This window comes from Homo sapiens, chromosome 3, assembly GCF_000001405.40.
Source record: "Homo sapiens chromosome 3, GRCh38.p14 Primary Assembly".
In the NCBI taxonomy this organism is placed as follows: Eukaryota; Metazoa; Chordata; class Mammalia; order Primates; family Hominidae; genus Homo; species Homo sapiens.
This window is the reverse complement of record NC_000003.12, coordinates 134,186,548-134,207,571: the sequence shown is the minus strand read 5'-3', so window position 1 is coordinate 134,207,571 and position 21,024 is coordinate 134,186,548. Positions and strand designations below refer to the sequence as shown.

Genomic DNA, 21,024 nt, shown 5'->3' with positions numbered 1-21,024 from the left:
TGGAAAAGAGAATTTCTAAAGCATCATTTTTCTCCTTTAAATTCAGAACTTGAAGAAGTAAAAACTTCAGCCTTGGACAAAAACACTAGCAGAACTATTTGTAAGTGTTACTGTATTATCTTTATCCATTATTAGAAATGAAAAATGGTTGACTGCATATAAACATGATTGCATGAAGCTTGGAGGCCTCATGGTATCAAATGATAATGACACCATGCTGTTATTTTGCTGGTGCTTTGTAGACTGGTGGATAGGTCATGAAACTGTTAGAATATTGAATATTTTGAGAACTAAAATTTATACGTATTTTGTAACGAGTAAGCTAAAAAGTTTTACAAGCAAGAATATCATATATTTTTGAGTAGTCATAATTAAAGTATGACCATGAAATATGTGTAAGATGTTTATTAGCAGAGGGTTAGAAAATCTGGCTTGCAGTCTGGACCTAATCTTAAGCTAATTTCATCCAGGTGAAGGTGTAAGCTTAAAGATATTATGTTACTTAAACCTACAGAGCAGGTATGCAAAGTAGATTTTTATTTTTTGGTATCGGTTGTGTTTAGATATTATTACAAACTTCTTTTTTTTTTCTGACATGAAGACATCGTTGGGTCTTACTCTTCTTGCGGTAGTGTTAATAGCAGTATCTTAAAAGGATACTAGATTCTCTTCATGCAAGTAGACTTTAAAAAATTGGTTTTGAAAACTTCAAGTATATAAAAGTTCAGAGTACGCTTTGATGAACTCCCATGTGCCCATCCCCCAGCCTCAGTAATGATCAACACTTTGCCATTGTTCTTCCATTGATTCCCTCCTTTTGTGGTTGGTTAGGGGTGGAGGAGAGTATTTTCAGGCACATCCCAGGCATCAGATTATTTCACCCATAAATATTTCAGTGTAGATCTCCTTTAAAAGGGCCTTTAAAAAACCCCCACAATCACCTAATACCTATTCATTTTGATTTATCACATATAACAAAATTAACAGCAGTTGCTTAGTATCTCCAATAGATAGTCCATGTTCAAATTAACCCGATTGTCTTTAAAATGTCTTTTTTTCCTCCTGAATCAAGATCCAAATGAAGCCTACACAACTGTTGGGTGATATATGTTTTGTATTAATCAGAAACCACCAACCCTTTTATTAATATTATTTATTTATTGAAGAAATTATGTCATTTGTCCCATAGAATTTCCCACATTCTGCATCTTCCTGAAATCATTGAACATGTTTGTTTGTTTGTTTTTCTGTAAACTGGCAGATAGATTTTGCACTTGATTAGATTTAGAACCAACTCTTTTGGTAAGAATAGTCCATAGATGGTAGGTACTCTGTGCTGCCTATTTTGTCTTTTCATCACCTTGGGAGGCACAGAGTATCTGGATGTCCCAAAGGGGAATTTTTTTGCCTGTAAAATAATGTGACATATCGTCTACTTGCTGGAATATTTCTGAAAAGAAAGAAAAAACATTAAAAAAAATGTCACTGTTGCCAAAGTTTACTTTTAAAATTCTGGTGACTTTGCCCATTTCTTTTATGCTAGTAGGATATTACTTCTCACAAAGAGCAGTACTGCATATTCTTGGCCTCTGTCTGTGTCTTCCTTGCTGCCTCTCATCTTCCCGCCCTTTCTATTTATTCATCCACCCAGTACCTATGGAGAGTCTGTGGTGTGTTAGGCGGTATGACTGAAGCAGAGGACTAAACTGTGAGCAAAGAGATCCTTTCCTCGGGGGTTTATAATGTAGTGGGAGAAATAGACGAGGCAATATAGGCAATGATACCAACATAGCATGGCAAGCTATGATAAGGCAAGCACAGGGGATTTGGGAACCCAAGGATAGCTTCCTGAGAACAGTGACAGCTCTTCTGAGAGCTGAAGGGTGACCAGATGGTGGCAAATGAAGGATGAATGAGGGAATGGGAAAAATGCATAGGAAAGCCTGGAATTTGGAGGTAATTGAGCAGGGCGCATCTAGGGGGATCTGCCCAGCAGAGCCGTATCCTTGGCTCTGCTCTGGAAAGTGCTTGGACAGTACTGCTAACATATGCCTCCAGAATTCAGAATTTTTTTCTGTCCCTCCCAAGATTGAATAGCTTTCCTGTGGCATAAGGTAATTCTTGATGAAAGTCATGCCTTCATTCAGGCTACAGCCAAGTCTAGCTGCCCTAGAAGTCATTTGGTCTCTACGTTAATCTGTTCTGATTTATTGTTTGTTGATAGGAAGGTTAAATTTTAGAAAAGTTTTATTTTTCTTATTTCCATGTGTTTTTGAAAGCTGTAAGTTTTATCTTTTATCCTGACCTATCCCCAGAACTCCAAACTTGTATATCTGTCAGTTTAACGTCTGTGCATGGAGATATGAGGTACCTAGTTAGTAGACTAGGTACTCCAAATTTAACTTGGGCAAAACTCTTGATTTTCACATCCCCAACCTGCTTATTTTTATCTTTGTAAAGTTACCCTTATCCAAGTTATTGCTTGAGCCAAAACTTTTCATTCTTCTTTTTCTTTCTACTTTGGTACAATCCATTAGTAAGGTATGTTGACTGTGTTCCCAAATCCACTTACTTCTCATCTTCACTGTGACACTCTTGTCCAAGCCAGTGCTGTCTCTCTGAATTACTCTGGTAACCTTCTAACTTGTTCCCTGCTTCTGCTCTTGCTCCCCTACACGGCATTCTTCACACATCATGCAGTCATTTTTTGTTAAGTGACCGTGTGAAATTGCTTTGCTTGAAACCTTGCAATGATCCCCCATCTCACTTAGGATAAACCCCAAATGCCTCAAGTTTTGTTCAGTAGAGTTATGATGTGAGTACTCGTGATCAAATCTTTCATGAATCTCCAGTCACACCAGTTCTACTTCTGTTTGCATCTTCCACTCTGCCTGCTTATGTCATTTGTATCTTGCTGTGTGTTTTTTCTCAGTTTGCTTCTGCGTGTGTGTGTGTGTGTGTGTGTGTGTGTGTGTGTGTGGCTGTGGCTGTGTCATTGGGTTATTTTCCCTGTTGCTGAGGCTTTCTTTTTGTCTCTCTTATTTATATATTTATTTATTTGTTAATTATTTTTGAGACGGAGTCTTGCTTTGTCACCCAGGCTGGAGTGCAGTGGTGTGATTTTGGCTCACTGCAACCTCTGCCTCCCGGGTTCAAGTGATTCTCCTGCCTCAGCCTCTCGAGTAGCTGGGACTACAGGTGCGCACCACCATACACGGCTAATTTTTGTATTTTTTTTTCAGTAGAGATGGGGTTTCACTATGTTGGTCAGGCTGGTCTCAAACTCCTGACCTCAAGGGATCACCCACCTCAGCCTCCCAAAGCGCTGGGATTACAGGTGTGAGCCACGGCACCCAGCTTGCCTCTCTTTTTAAAATAATATAAAGCTGAGTATCATTTTATTTAATGAATAGAGCCTTTAAAAACAGAAAAGCAAAACAATTTCTGTTGTACTCTCAAAAAAGAATAAATGTTTTTATAAACTTGTGGACCCTTCTGTCACTCAGTCTTCTGTGAGTCAGTGGTCCCTGGCAACAAAATGATGTCTGATTCCTCTAACCCAAACATTGTTGTTGAAGAAATATGAAGAATATATAGATCTGCACTGTCTAGTATGGTAACTGCTAGCCACATGTGGCTTTTTAACTTTAATTACAGTGAAGTAAAATTAAAACATCAGTTCCTCAGTTTTACTAACTACATTTCAGTAGCTTTAGTTGTACTTATATTTGAATGCTTAATAGCCACAGGTGACCAGTGGCTACTGTATTGGACAGTACTCTAGAGAACATTTTCGTCACTGCAGAAAGTTCTGTTGGACAGCACTGCTGTAGTATATTTTATGCACTGGTATGTTTTATGTATACCACTTGTGAGTGACTGTTATACTCATTAGCCAAAAATTCTATTTAAAATCTTTTTTCTTTCTTTTTTTTAATCTTTGTAAAGGTACCCTTATCCAAGTTATTGCTTAAGCCAAAACTTTTCATTCTTCTTTTTCTTTCTACTTTGGTACAATCCATTAGTAAGGTCTGTTGACTTTTGTATTAATCAGAAACCACCAACCCTTTTATTAATTTTATTTATTGAAGAAATTATACCATTTGTCCCATAGACTTTCCCACATTCTGCATCTTCCTGAAATCATTGAACATTTTTTTTTTCTGTAAACTGGCAGGTAGATTTTGCACTTGATTAGATTTAGAACCAACTCTTTTGGTAAGAATAGTCCATAGATGGTCTGTCGCCCACGCTGGAGTACAGTGGAGCGATCTCGGCTCACTGCAACCTCTGCCTCCCAGGTGCAAGCGATTCTCATGCCTCAGCCTCCTGAGTAGCTAGGATTACAGGTGCCTGCCACCATGCCCAGCTAATTTTCGTACTTTTAGTAGAGGCGGGGTTTCACCATATTGGCCAGGGTGGTCTCAAACTCCTGACCTCAAGGTGATCCACCTGCCTTGGCCTCCCGAAGTGCTGGGATTACAGGCGTGAGCCATCACACCTGGCCTAAAATATTTTTTTTAAACTACAACAAAAACATCAAAAAAATTATGTGAACTTCCACCAATATGCTACTGGTAACTGATCTTACAAAGAATGGGCACATGAAAAGAACAGAATACTTATTTATGTATATTGGGTCACAAAGCAGTCATATTTGTTTAAAAAGCTAAATGTGCTTTTTGTTTTTATTTCAGATGATCCTGTACATGCAGCTCCAACCACTTCTACGCGTGTGTTTTATATTAGTGTAGGGGTTTGTTGTGCAGTAATATTTCTCGTAGCAATAATATTAGCTGTTTTGCACCTTCATAGTATGAAAAGGATTGAACTGGATGACAGGTATTGTACATATTTTGGGAAAGAAAAAAAATGAAAGCAGTTATTTGTATATATGTGGGAGCCCATACACATCGATGCACAGTGGTGCAGGGAAAGGAGGGAGGATGATTAAGCCCCAGCCAAAGGAAAAATAAGATGACCTAATCACTGTCTCTGGTTTCTCTGATTTTATTTTTATTTTTTAAAAATTAAGAAGTCAGAAATTAGTTTTTTAGTTGTTGAGGAAGAAGTGGAGAACAAGTAGTTTTTTCTATTCCCTTTGACATGACTCTACCTCAGACCATTGCCTTTTCAAAATAGCCCTGTTTCTTCCTTCTAGATCTTGCCTTCATCATTCTCCCTTTCTCTCTTCCTCCCTCCATCCATCCAGTAAACATGTATTGAGCACCTGCTCTGATTTAAACCATTGGTTCTCAACCTGGTTACACATTAGAGTCAAGGAGAAGCTTTGAAAACATACTGGTATTTGGGTCCACCTTCCAGAGATTTTGATGCAGTTGGTTTGTGGTAGTATTTGGGGATCAGTATTTTTCATAAAGCTTCCTGGATGATTCTAATGTACAGCCAGTTTGAGATATACTGGGTTAGATACTATGCTAAGTGCTGGGAACAGAAAGAAAGAATGATATACTTTATAGTTTCAAGATTTTAATCTTTTACATTAACCTGTAATTATAAAAGTATGTAATTTGATGACTGTGATATGTATAGTAAAGTGTGTGAATACAAAAGGTGCTTGTCCAGCCTCAGTGAGTCAGAGATGACAAGGAGGACATTATAGTCAAGTTAGGGTGAGAGGTACAGATGGAATGATAGGTTTATTTTCATAACAAACACTTCTTACTTCCCTCCTCTGTGATTTCCAGTTGCTGCCTGAAGACATGCCCCAGCTTTGTGACTTCTTTGAAAGCCCTCCTTTATGTGGAGACGTATCATCCATACTCTTTGAACCTTTTCTCCTCTTATTGCTGTATCCTTACTTGCGCTCCAGTCAAATGATCACTTATTCCTCACTTTCGCCCCACACTTTGCCCTTCAGGACTTTTGTTCATGCTTTCTTCTTCCCACAAGCCTCCATGCATTTTCCACCAGTCCAAACTTGGTCCGTTCTTCAAATTCCAGCTCCATTGCTGTCTCTTTCATGAAGTCTTTTCTAAGCCTCCCAAACACCCCTTTCTCTTTGTCTCTGTCTCTGTCTCTCTCTCTCTCGTAGCAGTTATTGCACTTTTTCTTCTATAATTTTTTGTGTAATTGTCTTACCTTTAGAATGTAAGCTTTTTCCAGTTAGGGAGCAGTGTGTCTTACTCATTGTTGAGTCACCAGTCCTAATTAGTCTTAACATGCAGCTGGGAAGCATATTTGTGGCGTAAGAATATGAAGGGGAAGGGAGCTGGTTGGATTCAATACCTGCCCCTTAGTACTCTTTGTCCCCACTGTTTTATTTTCCATTTCTGTGTGGAGAAAGAAGAGAAAAGGGATACGAATGAGAAGGAAGTACGTATATGATTTGTTTCAGAATATGTTTTGTGTACATGATGGTGGTGAAGTTAGGTTTAGATTTTACAGGGGAAGAAATGGCATTTGGAAGCGATTGAGGGAACATTTTGATAGGACTTTGAGAGAGGATACAGGTAGAGAGGTGACTGAAGAGCATGACATTTGGAAGTCAGTCTTGATATAGCCAGAGAGTTGCGTTTTCCTTGAATGCTTGCATGCGTGCTAGGGCTGTGAGCCCACATAGGCCAGAATTTTGCAATAACTTTCAGATTCCATGGGGCATCTACCTCTGCCTGCTGAAATAATTAGTTACCATCCATGAATTGGTGTTCCAGTTCTCTTTAGTTTTCAGGCAAAAGTTTCCAGACATTACCTGAGTAAAACCAGCTTATATTATCACGTTTTCAGAGCATAGTCTAGTGGTCAAGAGTACGGACTCTAGAGCCAGACCATCTCTGTTTGAAGCCTGGCTATTCTGTTTACTAGTTTTATGGGCTACATGGATTAAGTTATATAGCCTATGTGTGTCTCAGTTCTCCTCTGTAAAGCAGAAATACACACCTAGTAGGTATGTTGTGAGGTTTTAATGAAATACAGTAAGCTCTTAAAACAGAGCCCTACGTATAGTAAATGGCATTTTATGAAGTTTTTAATAAAGTTGCAATATGCTAGTATGTCCAGAATTGGTTCCTTCTGGTGGGTTCTTGGTCTTGCTGACTTCAAGAATGAAGCCGCGGACTCTCGCGGTGAGTGTTACAGTTCTTAAAGATGGTGTGTCTGGAGTTTGTTCCTTCAGATGTTCAGATGTGTCCGGAGTTTCTTCCCTTCTGGTGGGTTCATGGTCTCACTGACTTCAGGAGTGAAGCCGCAGACCTTCGCAGTGAGTGTTATAGCTCTTAAAGGTGGTGCATCCGGAGTGGTTCGTTCCTCCTGGTGGGTTCGTGGTCTCACTGGCTTTAGGAGTGAAGCTGCAGACCTTCGCAGTGTTACAGCTCATAAAGGTAGTGCGGACCCAAAGAGTGAGCAGCAGCAAGATTTATTGTGAAGAGCGAAAGAACAAAGCTTCCACAGCGTGGAAGGGGACCCAAGCAGGTTGCCGCTGCTGGCTTGGGTGGCCTGCTTTTTTTCCCTTATTTGGCCCCACCCACATCCTGCTGATTGGTCCATTTTACAGAGAGCTGATTGGCCCATTTTACAGAGTGGTGATTGGTCCGTTTTACAGAGTGCTGATTGGTCTGTTTTTACAGAGTGCTGATTGGTGCGTTTACAAACCTTTAGCTAGACAGAAAAGTTCTCAAAGTCCCCTACCTGATTAGCTAGACACAGACCACTGATTGGTGCGTTTACAAACCTTTAGCTAGACACAGAGTGCCGTTTGGTGCATTTACAATCCTTTAGCTAGACAGAAAAGTTGTCCAAGTCCCCACCCGACCCAGAAGCCCAGCCAGCTTCACCTCTCACTAGTAGTGATGGACAAAGTTCTTCTGCCCTTTCCTGTCCTATTAACAATTATTTATTACCTGCCAGGCAAGCTAACAGTGGTGACCAGAAAGCTCACATCCAGTTATCCAACAGCATTTAAGAGACATCTGCTGCTTCTCTCTCTGCATAGGGGCCACTGGGATTACCATTTATTGAGTGTTTTCTGTTTACCAGTACTGTACCCCAGGTACTTTATATGTATTATCTTAACACAGCCACCTAGAAATAGGCTTGAAGAGATTAAATAACTTTTTCAGGATTGCTCTTCTAGGAGCAGGGCAGAGCAGGCGGGACTCAGTGTTGTAATAGCTATGTGTTAATAATCCACTATTGTCATTGTATAAAACACTTGCTGTGTGCCAGGCACTGTTCCCTGTGCTTTACATTCATGAACTCCGTTAATCCTCACACAGTCTGGTGAGGTTAGATGGAGCCCATGGCTCCGTGGAATTCATTAGAAAGGGATGGTAGTGTTCTTCCATTCCAGGCACTTAGGAGCCACTGCTTGTTATAAACAGATCTCATTAGAGGCAGAGAATTAACACTGCCTGAGATATGCCCATGCCAGGGCAGTTGGAGCTCATGTGTGTGGCTTTCCCTCTCTCAACACTGCAAATTGATCTTTTCAGTCTCTTTGTTACGCCTGATGAGTCTGTCCTGGATAGGCAGAGCTTCTCTTTACATTCACCCTGAAGTCCTGCAGAGGGGTTGGTCTGCAGCGTGTCTCTACTGTAGTCTTTCCCTGTTAGTTTGTGACTGTGGGAAAGTTTATTACTCCTTTGTGGGATGCTTGAACTTGTCATCTGGCAGCATCTTAATTTTTCTCTTCCAGTTTCCATTATCCCCACCACCGCCCCCATGCCATTACTGGTGACAGAGTTTCCCTTTAAAATCTTTGATTTTATATTTAATGCCTAACTGTCTGACACATAGTAAAATACTCAGTAACTATTTGGTTGAATAACCAATGAATAGAGGGAGGAAAAAAACCATTTTGTTTTACCAATCATTCTTTGCTTTTTTCACAATAGTTTGTGCCAGAAATGACCATTCTGTCTGGTTTATGTTTTCTGTCCCAGGGAAGCGTGGTTTTCTCTGTTCATTGATTGACTCAGTGTTAGTTGAGCTGTCACTGGGGCTCACTCTGGCCCACTTGCGGCTTATTGTGCCAGGTACTGGCATAAGTGCTGGGGAAGGAGAGGTGAATAAACAGGCACTTGTCCTGCCTTTGTGGAGTTTATAGTCTGGTTGGATGAGACAGATATTAAACAAAAAAAATCCTTACTGGAATGTAGGGGTCACAGTCTTTGTCTGTTGCATTCATTGCTGTATCTCTAGCACCCAGTACAGTACCTGACATGTAGTAGATACTTAATAAATATTTGTGGAATGAATGGATGAAGTGGAGTTACAGAGAAAAATAGAAAAGTACAAATTGTTGTCAGTGTTTTGAAGGAAAATTATGATCTTTCCCAAAGTTCTGACTTCATTCTAAGACAGGGTTAGTATCTCCATACATAATTTTACTTGCTTTTGAAAATCAAATGAGATAATCTATTTAGATTGATAATTTATTTAGACTGGCTATAAACTATTAAGTGCTAGCAAATATACATTTTAATCTCATTTTCCACCTCTTGTGATATAGCTATGTAGGTGTTGACTTTAATGGATGTCAGGGGTAGGTCCCTAATTGCTTCTTGCTTCTATCATAACAGTAAGTCTTGGATTCAAAAAAAAATTTCGTTCTGACCACTTAGCATAGTGCTTTGCTTATTTTAGGGACCCACTTAATATCTGTTGAGGGAATGAAAAATTGACATAGATGTCCCTGTAACGCCTTTGTGTGCCTACAGTCTTTTCAAAAATTCTGAGGTAGCACAAGAGTGCCACCTACTGTTAAGTTAATGGAGAGACTGTGTCTGTGCACTTAGTCATCAGTGATGTTGGTTGCAGATAATACTTAAGAAGTACTTTCACATATCTCATACAATTTGAGCCTCACAAAAATCCTGTGAGGTAGATTATCTTAATCCCATTTATTTCCTCCCCTTTTGAGGATGGTAATGCTCCTCTTCCCTCCCCATTATTGAAGTCTGGACTTCTAACAGCTTTGATATCTGGTTTGATTTTTGAGTGGTACTCAACTGTAAAACAGAGTCCTGTAATCCCTTTTTGCTCTAACGACTGGAGATGCATAATATTCACATAATTAATATAACTATAGTAGTATACTATAAATTAGTAACAATAATTTATAAAGATATGTTTGAGGGCTAGGCAATAAATGCTTTACTTATTTATTTTTCATGTAATCGTTTTAGCAATCTTATCAGAGGATAGTGTTATGCACACTCTGTCCACGGGAATTTGAGGTTCCAGAGGATTAAATAGTTTGTCCTAGGCCGTACAGCTAGTAATCGATGATACTGGCAGTTCTGACTTCACGGTTTATGCTCTTCATCTCTTTTCTATATTGACCTATACCCACTGCATTATAAACTCATATAGATCAATTCTGTAATAACGTTGAGCCAAAGAAGCTCTTCCAGCACTCTGACCAGATGATAGCCTAATGAATCTTTATTATAGTCTCTTTGAGTTGCAAAGTATCTTCGCAGAGTTGCTGGAGAAACAGGGCTAACTGCAGCATCACAAGAAGAAGTATCAGGTTGGTGCAGTAATTGCAGTTTTTGTCATTAAAAGCAATAGCATTAAAAGCAATGACAAAAACTGCAATTTGCAATTACTTTTGCACCAATCTAATAGATAACCTAAAATGATGGACATCTTCAGGGAAGGCATGCTGGGGGGGCATTTCATTAGGCAAACATGTATCTTGAGATCTATGGTTGTGCTGAGCAGAATGGTTTGCATATTATAAGTGCTCTCCAAATGTTTATTGCAGGACATTTCTATCTTAATTTTTGCTATGACTTTCTACAGATGTTTGGTTACAATAGCAGATAGTAGTATATTGTATTATTAGCCATAGAAAGGCTACATAAAGACTTACAGTCCTCATTGCCTGGATGTTATATATTTACATTTTTCAGATTTGTGTATGGGCTCTTGAAATTGATAAACATTCATATATAAATGTTATAGATTACATAGCAGCCGTGTGTGTGTGTGTGTGTGTGTGTGTGTGTGTGTGTGTGTGTGTGTTTTGTTTCAGAGACAGGGTCTCACTATGTTGCCCAGGCTGGCGTCAAACTCCTGGACTAAAGTGATCTGCCTAACAGCCTTCCAAATAGCTGCAGCTACAGGCTTCACACCGCACTCAGCTTTATTATGTATTTTTTTAAATCACCAGTTTTTGAAAATACAGAATTATTATGTGGGAAGTGGTCAGTTAAAAGATTTTGCATATTAAGGAAAGTTGGAGACTTGATTGGGCACTGCTGATCCTGTAGCTAAGAGAGGCATTGAAAGACCTATCCTGCTATCTGGTTTCACCCTTCATGCTGAATTTCTATGTTTCACGTCTCCACTGCTGCAAAATTATAAGAACTAAGGCAGTGAGACCGAAATGTACCCACGAGACAAGGTTTCTCCCCACTGAAAAGACAAAACTACATGCTTGAGCAGCATTACTTTGCAGTAATCTTGAACACAAGGTTTACAATTATTTGAACCTATCATCTTCTTGGTGTCCTGTATTATTTAGAGAATATGGTGTAGTGTTTCAAGTACTAGAGATTTCCCAGAAGTTGGATGAAAGGGAGGGATTGGGGAAGTAGAAGAAGCAAAATGTATTGTGTTTAAATAAACTTGAACCAAATTTGATACTTTTTTTTTTTTTGAGATGGACTGTCACTTTATCGCCCAGGCTGGAGTGCAGTGGCGTAATCTTGACTCACTGCAAACTCCACCTCCCAGATTCAAGCGATTCTCCTGCATCAGCCTCCCGAGTAACTGGGACTACAGGCACGCGTCACCATGCCCGGCTAATTTTGTACTTTTAGTAGAGACAGGGTTTCACCATGTAGGCCATACTGGTGTCGAACTCCTGACCTCCAGTCATCTGTCCGCCTTGGCCTCCCAAAGTGTTGGGATTACAGGCGTGAGCCACCGCACCTGGCCAATACTCCTTTCTAAGCTCCGAGCATGTTGGCACATTTGATTTGGTTTGCTCTTTCTTTATCTGTAGGCCATTTGATATTGGGCCATCATTGAAAGAGGCCTGTCTTTCTTCTTCTTTTCTAAAAAGCAATCTAATTGAATGACATGGGCTCTTTTTTTGAGAGATGATCCGTAGTTCCCTAACATATTTGTGTGTGAAGTTTAGGACAATTAGCTGAGGTGTCTGAGCACTAGTACCTACATTTCTGAATAATTTTGATAAGATGAACTCGCTTAATGATTTTGGAGATAGAAATGAAAGAAAAAATAGAGCTCTATAGGAGTTAGATTAAAATATCAGTATTGGAACATCATGAATTATTGTGATCTCCGTAAGGATTTTAGGCTGGTTTTAATGGCTATGTGCATTTTGTATGTATGGAAAAAGGAAATTTCTCATTGAAACTGACTTGTCAAATATTTCTCTCAAAAATTGTTTGCAGCATTAGTGCCAGCAGTAGTTCCCAAGGGCTGTCTCAGCCATCCACCCAGACGACTCAGTATCTGAGAGCAGACACGCCCAACAATGCAACTCCTATCACCAGTAAGAGTTAATTTAATTCTAAAGCCAGTTTACTCAAGTTGTCTATGCTGCTTCCCAGTGGTCTTGCATGGTTAGTGTACTTGTGGGACATGTTGTGTAAATCGTATCTAAAGTATGCAAAATTAGGTATGCTCTTCAACTTTTGCTTTCTAGAGCATTGAATGAAACATTCTAAAATTGAGGTATCAAAAATGAAATTTAAGTTTGCTAGAATTGGTGTGGCTTTCGGGAGATTTCCATAGATTTATTATACTAAAAGGGCTACTAAGTCACTTCTATAGAAATTCAAAAGGAAGATTTTTCAGGTAACTATATGGAATTAACTATTGAGCTGCATAAAGACAGAGACTTTAGACTGTAAGGAATTGTTTGATGGTCTTATGGGCCATGGTGAAGACTTTACATTGTTTTTTAATCATAATAGGAAGTTAGCTACCACTGGAAAGTTGAGAATGTCGGATCTGATTTCCTTTTTTGGACTGGCATTTATTCTTTAGTAAAATAAGATTAAGATATCTGTCCTCTACCCAGTGCCCTATTGTGGTTTTCCAGTACTGTCTCCCATGAAAAAGAACCAGGATTTTTTGGAGAAATGGCTGATTCCAGGTCTGAGTTAGGAAGTGAACAAGATAAGCCTGGGACATGTTGCTGAGTCAGATATCAAGGAAATAGCTAAGACTTGAAGAGCTTCCACTGGCTAAAGATAGGACCATTTGATCATCAAAATGAATAATGACTATAATGAATTAAAACGTAAAATGTGTAAAAATCCACAAATTTGTAATAATACATTATTTAACAAAATTGTTCATTATGAGAGGTGACTAAGGCTCCAGTGAATACCTTACTCTACCAACTGACTACATGAACTGTATTTCAGGTTAACCAGATGGTGCTGGTGGATGAGAGAAAATTTTTCTTTACAGATGATTCTCAGCTAATAAATGTGGAAGAAATTATATAATTAGAAAATCACATGTGCAACTCCTGATAAAATAGTTGATTCAGAAAAAGATCATCAGTGATTGAAAGGAAAATGGGGAACTCTGCCATTGAGGGATCAGGCTGTCACCACCTGAATACACTGATGAACTCAGCATTACTAAAAGTAGGGGACCTAGGTATTTCGTACCCAAGGATATGATGTACCATTCATGGAGCATTCTTTTCTGTCCCTGCTGCACCCCCTACAAGTTAACCTGGATCTGATCAAGGTTATAGACCTGACTTACAGTTTACAGGAAATACTACTTGAAGAAGTAGAGGCCAAACATTTTCCAGGGTAGCCGACCCAGTTTCTTCAATAAGACAGTGGCAAGAAAAAAGGAGGAAAGAAGGCATTATACAGTAAACAAAATTTAAGGGAAATAATAATAGCAGCTACTCTTCCCACTAATGAAGAAAGAAATATATGCTTTTTAGGAAATACGATAGATGTGAAAGTAGTTTAAGCTACTCAGAAGAGGCACATCATTGCTTTTAATGTTTAAATATCAATCTTTGCTCATTAGAATGGATTCTTAATTGTTATACGTGACCTCAAAGAGGTAGGGAATTGTTGTTATACATGCTAAAATACTTTCTTAAAAAAGTCAAAGGGGCCGGGTGTGGTGGCTCTTGCCAGTAATCCCACCACTTTGGGAGGCCAAGGCGGGCGGATCATGAGGTCAGGAGATCAAGACCATCCTGGCTAACACGGTGAAACCCCATCTCTACTAAAAATACAAAAAATTAGCTGGGTGTGGTGGCTCGCGCCTGTAGTCCCAGCTACTTGGGAGGCTGAGGCAGGAGAATGGCGTGAACCCAGGAGGTGGAGCTTGCAGTGAGCTGAGATCACGCCACTGCACTCCAGCCTAGGCAACAGAGTGAGACTCCGTCTCAAAAAAAAAAAAAAGTCAAGGGAAATAAATTTATTTATCTTTTAAAAATTGTTGCCATCAATAAGAAATTTACTTGTTTGTAATCATGGCCATTACCGTAAGGAGCTAGATAATTTACTTACTACATATATATATACTGAAAACAAACACTTTTTAAAAAAGTCAATAGAAATACATTTGTTTACAGATAGAAAAAGAGGAAGAAAAAAATATTTGAAGACATAGTAGCCAAGAATTTTCTAAGATAACAACGCAACAGATCACAGATCCAGGAAACTAAGAGAACTCCAGGTAGAATTAAACATTCACATATACTCACACACCTAGACAGTCTATCACAGTCAAACTGCTGCCAATCAGTGGTTTCAGGTGGTGTCAGTCTACATGCATTGTAAAGTTGCCCAAAACTTTTCATGTGGTTCTCCTGGCAACCATTGATGATCATTGCATAGGTCCACTAATTTTGGGGGGAGGTTTCTTCCCATTATCTGGAGATGCCATTCCAACTTCTACTTGCTAAAGCCAGATTTTCCTTTTATTCTAACATTTTTTTTCTTGAAGTGAAAACTAATTTGTGGCTGTAAATTCTGTTTTTACTGTCATTGAATTAAGAATGAATGGGAATTAAGGGAACTTATTAAATTTGAATCTCACAATGGTTTTACTAGGATGTGGTAATACCAGAATAATTACATTGATTATGTATTTTGTTTGAAAAAAGCCTTTTCAAACAAAAATAACTTTCTGTTTGAAACTTTTTGTTTGTTCAAACAAAACAACTTTTCAAATGAAGAGATGTTTGAAAAAAATCTTTTCAAACATGTCTTCATTTGAAAAGTTGGTGTGTTATGAGACTATATTAGAAAACCTTTTGGGAGAAAAACTGTCCATAAGAAGGATTAAATGAAATTTCACAGATCAAAGCTTGTTTCATTTGGCTAAAAGGCAATTGAAGTGGTGGTCATGGTAATACTATTTTTAGGATTTCTTGTTGCAGTTCAGAATTTTAACATTTTGGAGTAGTATTGTGGTGGGTGAGGAGACATTTCTTTAACATTTAGTGTGGCCTTCAAATAACTCTCCTAGTTCATATATATGCCTGTTTCCTTTTATGATTCTTACACTCATTCCTGTGACCTGAGTCCTGAGGTTCTAACTGAACTAGTTGACTCCAATACCATAATAAGGGTATTTATATTGCTTGGTTTGGCTTTGTTGGCTCCTTAGGTTATCCTACCTTGCGGATAGAGAAGAACGACTTGAGAAGTGTCACTCTTTTGGAGGCCAAAGGCAAGGTGAAGGATATAGCAATATCCAGAGAGAGGATAACTCTAAAAGATGTACTCCAAGAAGGTATTTATTATCTCAAAGTCGGTTTTTTAAGTATGATTTAATGTTACCACTATAGACACTTTTTTCAAAAATTTAAAAAATTTCATCTCATTTTGTGTCTAAGATAAGGATAGGAAGCAGTGTATGGTTTTTCTTTTATAAAAATTATTTTCATTTGCTCCTATACTTGAATGGGCCTTGTACAACTTTGGTGCAGTTCTTGATTTTCAAGTATATTAAAGCACGTATATTATTGTTGGCTATATTTAAGGTGTATTCTCTGTTTGGTTTTTATTTAAAATGGCCACTACCTGGCAGGTCTCTCTGAGATAGTCTAAGTTACTTTCTCTCTGACGGATAACTTGGGGGTTGTAGCGGAAGGAATGGACATGGGCTTGGGCTTTGGTTTTGGTCCTTAGTTCCAATCCCACATTTTATTCTCCGTGTGGCTTTGGAGAAATCACGTAATGTCTTCAGTCTCCAGTTCCCTCCTCTATAAATTTGGACTGCGTTGTCATCTCTTAGACTAGTTATAAAGATGAGATGAAATTAGGTACAGTAAATGAATGAACACATAATAGTGTTTGCCAGGTGTTAGTATGCTTCCCTTCACCTCTCACTGGGCCTTGCTTTCCTTTTTGAATTGGAGGGTATTGATTAGGGAGATGCTGAAAGAAGAAGACAGAAATTAATAATAAAATACTGCACTGAGCTCTTCATGTTGTTAAATAGAGAATTACTTTTTTACCTCCACTGTAATTCAGTTTGGAATGCTTTGGATACTTATGAGTCCTCCTTATGTATTCCTTTGCTGGTTGGGACACATTTAGGTCAATCACAGCTAAGTCAGGTACTTAAACTGTCCCCAGTAGCAAATGGTAATTAATGGAAGCAGATTTTCTGGTATGTCTTAAAATGCATGATTGCCACTTGTTAATAGTTGACTGTTTTCTAAGCATAACTAGTTTGCAGATCTTTTTGCAATCTGAAGAGAGTAAGTAGACCAGGTAGCATTTCCTAAAGAATAAAAAAAAATGAGAGATCAATTAATGTTATATTTGCAGTTTCTTTTGGTCTCTGAATGGGATAGAATAGGCAATCTGTTGTAGTGGTATGATTTGAGAAGAAGGAATTCTGAACCAGGTAGAGTTTTTCTTTATTGGTCTTTTCAGGCCCATAATAGTTTATTTTAAAATTCTTTTGATTTCAGAAAAGAAAATATGGTGGCTGATTAACATTTAAAAAGGTGGTCAGGTTCACTGGAAATCTGATAAATGCAAAGAAAACAATAGTTACATGCGATTTTTTTTTTTTACGTTAGTTTGTGAAAAAGTAAAAAGATAATTTCTAGGTTGACGGGTATGGAGGAACACATGCTCTTTTACATTGCTGGTAGGAATGTGAATTGCTGTAACATTGTGGTAAAGTAATATGTACATATATATTTTTGTGTATGTTCCTTACTTCCATTGTTTTTAAGTATATGTAAATCTGTGTTTGAGAGTAATATTTAAAAATGGGACTAGGTACTGGGAAGAGGAGACAGGAGGTTTTGCAGTGCTTCAGTGCAAGAGAGTTAAGAAGCTCAGTCAAGCAAGGTGAACTTGGCTGGAGAGAGAAGGGAAAACCTTTGTGAGGAAGACAGGTCAGGGTGTGTAGCTCTATGTATTGACTAGAGTGTTTGAAGATATTTACTCAGCTTCAAGCAAAATGTCTTAAATGAAGATTATCCAAAGTCTTTTCTGCCTTGAGCATACAAGTTACTCTGTCTCTAGGCCACAGTGAAACCTGATGATACATGGATACCAACAACTCCACCTCATAGAGTGGAAGGCATTAGAGCAAGCCTATTTGTATGCATGGTATCTGCAGCAAAGTGAAACTATTTGCAAGCTTATCTTTTAAATTGTGAAGGAAGGAAAGTAAACAATTTTCTAGTGAGAAAGAGTAAAATGAGATTCATTTTCAGTGATCATCTTGTTTGGGAGTTTTCTATGGGCAATTACAAAATTGGTAATAAAATCTAGATGGATTTTCTTAGTTCCTTCCCTAGCACCCGCAAAGGTCATAACTAACTTCTCTTATTACTATAAGAGTTTTTGTTTTTTGTTTTTTTTTTTTTTTTTTTTGGCGGAGTCTCGTTCTGTTGCCCAGGCTGGAGTGCAGTGGCACAATCTTGGCTCACTGCAGGCTCCACCTCCCGGGTTCATGCTGTTCTCCTGCCTCAGCCTCCCACGCCCGGCTAATTTTTTTGTATTTTTTTTTGTATTTTTAGTAGAGACGGGGTTTCACCGTGTTAGCCACGATGGTCTCAATCTCCTGACCTCATGACCCGCCTGCCTCGGCCTCCCAAAGTGCTGGGATTACAGGCGTGAGCCGCGCGCAGCCTCTTCTCACTCTAAGAGTTTTTAGGAACACATTTTACCAGTGAACCGAGAGTCTAATTGGCTTGTCTGAGACCTTCTGAGGAGTGAGTGGTAGAAGGAATGGAACCCAGGACTGTCTGGATCCAAAACTTGTACTCCCTGGCCTTCCCTTGAAGCTACTTTTTAAGGCTCTGCGGTAGAGAGGAAAGTTCATTTTTGTCTTTTCGTCATTTCTCTGAGGCTAAGCCTAGAAACTCATAAATGCCATTGTGGATACCTCATTACTGAGCTCCAATGCTCCTGGCTATATCATTAGTTTATTTAGTATAATTCAGGAAAATTTTCATATACTTAGTTTAGATATGGTGTTTCTGAAAGCAAGTTAAGATGTGTAATAGTCACAAAAAACTTTTAACAGTCGTTAAAACCAAAGATTTGGGTCTTTTTACTCTAGGGCTACAGTAATGTTGATCACATATGACCTTGTTATTTTTGTTTTATGTTATATTGTGCCAGAAAGTTTTGTACTATAATTTTATGAATGTTGTATGATCTCATTAATTATTACTTTTCCTTTTAGGTACTTTTGGGCGTATTTTCCATGGGATTTTAATAGATGAAAAAGATCCAAATAAAGAAAAACAAGCATTTGTCAAAACAGTTAAAGGTAGGATCTTTTTTCCATAGTATTTCCATGATGCTCTTCTGTCTCAGGTGGCTCCTGCCAGCAAAATTCTGTCTCAGTTTCCCAATGTGTGCCAGACCTTTTAAATCAGTCAGTGTTAATTTAGCTGAAAACAAAAATTGTCTTATATGAGCCTAATTGTTTTGGAAATTTGGGTTGTTCTCATTAAGTATAGAAAAACAGAAGTCTGTTAAATTAAGACATAAGACATTTCTTAGATATTACTCAGTTAATTGCAAGTCAAACTGCATCCACTTGATTTCATTGTTACTATGTTTAGTGTTGGTATACTTTTGCAGGTATAGCCATAGTTGGAATTGCTGGCCTAAGGGTGTGTACATTTAAAATTTTAATAGAGCCCAGGTGCAGTGGCTCATGCCTGTAATCCCGGCACTTTGGGAGGCCGAGGTGGCCAGATCACCTGAGGTCAGGAGTTCGAGACCAGCCTGGCCAGCATGGTGAAACCCCTGTCTCTGCTAAAAATACAAAAATTAGCCAGGCGTGGTGGCTCACGCCTGTAATCCCAGCTACTCAGAAGGCTGAGGTGTGAGAATTGCTTGAACCCGAGAGGCGGAGGATGCAGTGAGCCGAGATCATGCCACTGCACTCCAGCCTGGGCGACAGAGACTCTGTCTCAAAAAAAAAAAAAAATATATATATATATATATTGTTAGATTGTCCTCTAAAAGATAGCACTGGTTTATATTGTCATGAACAGAATAACTGTTTTCACATATTCTTCTTTTGGGCCAGCGTTTGAAATGTGACGCCTAATTTTTAATTTATTGATGTGTATAAGTTATTTAATTAAAGATTCCCTATCAAGATACTACAGTGTTATTTATGCAGGCATATGGCTTATTTCCTATTACTGGTAGATTTGCAAGACTTTAAAAAATACTAGAATTTTAATTACTTACAACAGATGCTTGTGAAAGCTTAAATAGTTCTGAATTAAGAGCTGGGTGCAGTGGCTCACAATTGTAATCCCAATGCTTTGGGAGGCTAAGGCAGGAGGATTGCTTGAGTCCATAAGTTCAAGATCGGCCTGGGCGATATAGCAAGACCCCCCGTCTCTACAAAAAAAAAAAAAAAAAGTAGCTGGGTGTGGTAGCATATACCTGTAGTCCCAGCTACTCAGGAGGATGAGGCAGGAGGATTGCTTGAGCCCAGGAATTCAAGGCTGCAGTGACCCCTGATCATGCCACTGTACTCCAGCCTAGGTGACAGAGCAAGATCCTGTTTTAATTTTTAAAAATGATGATAATAATTCTGAGGTAAGTCTTATTTGCTTATCTAGAGAGAAAGAAAAATGTGATAATTTATAGGGTGCTTAATGTCTATCAGGTCTGATGTAAATTGAGAAGACATGCTAATAATATCTAAAAACAAATTTAGCACTTTCCCTTCAGAAACTGAAGGGAAGATTAAATTCAGTTTTATGAGTAGAAAGTGATAAAATTTTATACAGTTTATGAAGTTAATTTATAAGAACTGTTTCTAAATTTACTTAAAGGAATACATGGAAAGTATGAAGGGTTTATGTTTATTGGTTGTAAAAAGTTGGGTTATACCAATCTAACAAAAAATCTTTGGAATTGCTTTTAATTGAACAAAATTGTTTGTTTAAGGCTGCTACAAATACATCCATACACACACACCTCTTTAATATTTTCTAAACAAGTGGTTTAATTTACTATATCATTCAATATTTATTTTATTCATTCACCCCTTCCCAGCACCAAAAACACTTTTAAAGGGTAATATTTATGTGTTAGGTCCATCCTTTCGGCTAAGACCAAGTGTAAGTTAGGTCCCAGTAGGTTTTCTGACTAGGAGAGTTTACATATTACTTTTTGTAAATGTAAAATTTGAACTATAAGGTTATTAAACAACAGCCTTTTGTTACTCTTTTCTCATTTTTTTTTTAAGGAAACTCCTTAATTCAAATATTTCTTCCGGGGTTTGTAAGTATTCTATAGACTGTGTAGAACTGGGCTATTATTGACTTGTTCTGAATTAAGGAAGGAGGTTTTTATACAAAATTGGGTTGATTTAGGGTTGGAAGGGGAGATAAAAGGAAATAATAGTGATAAGAAAACACAATGAGTATACTTGGACTGTTTCACAAGATAAGACTTCTCTTTCCGTATATGCTTGACTTGTAGTCACTGGTTGTTTCTGTGCTTTACCACTGTAATTATAATGTTCTCTGTGAGCTGTGCGGAAATAAGAGAAAGCACAGTGAGTCCTTATGGGGGACAGAGGGGA

The 21,024-nt window shown here is 38.4% G+C and overlaps 1 protein-coding gene across 3 annotated transcripts in view; it reads left to right on the top strand.

The window, feature by feature from the left end:
- Positions 1–21,024, top strand: part of RYK (receptor like tyrosine kinase) — a 93,727-nt gene that overhangs the window by 43,288 nt on the left and 29,415 nt on the right. For 2 of the 3 annotated variants that reach the window (XR_007095716.1, NM_001005861.3), the window contains exons 5-9: positions 47–100; positions 4,698–4,842; positions 12,390–12,490; positions 15,589–15,723; positions 18,649–18,735. Coding sequence is in view for 2 of the 3 variants with exons in the window: in NM_001005861.3 (NP_001005861.1) it covers positions 47–100; positions 4,698–4,842; positions 12,390–12,490; positions 15,589–15,723; positions 18,649–18,735 (522 nt within the window). In the remaining variant the exon portion in view is untranslated. The remainder of the gene's footprint in view (positions 1–46; positions 101–4,697; positions 4,843–12,389; positions 12,491–15,588; positions 15,724–18,648; positions 18,736–21,024) is intronic. The other variant, NM_002958.4, reaches the window with a different exon arrangement.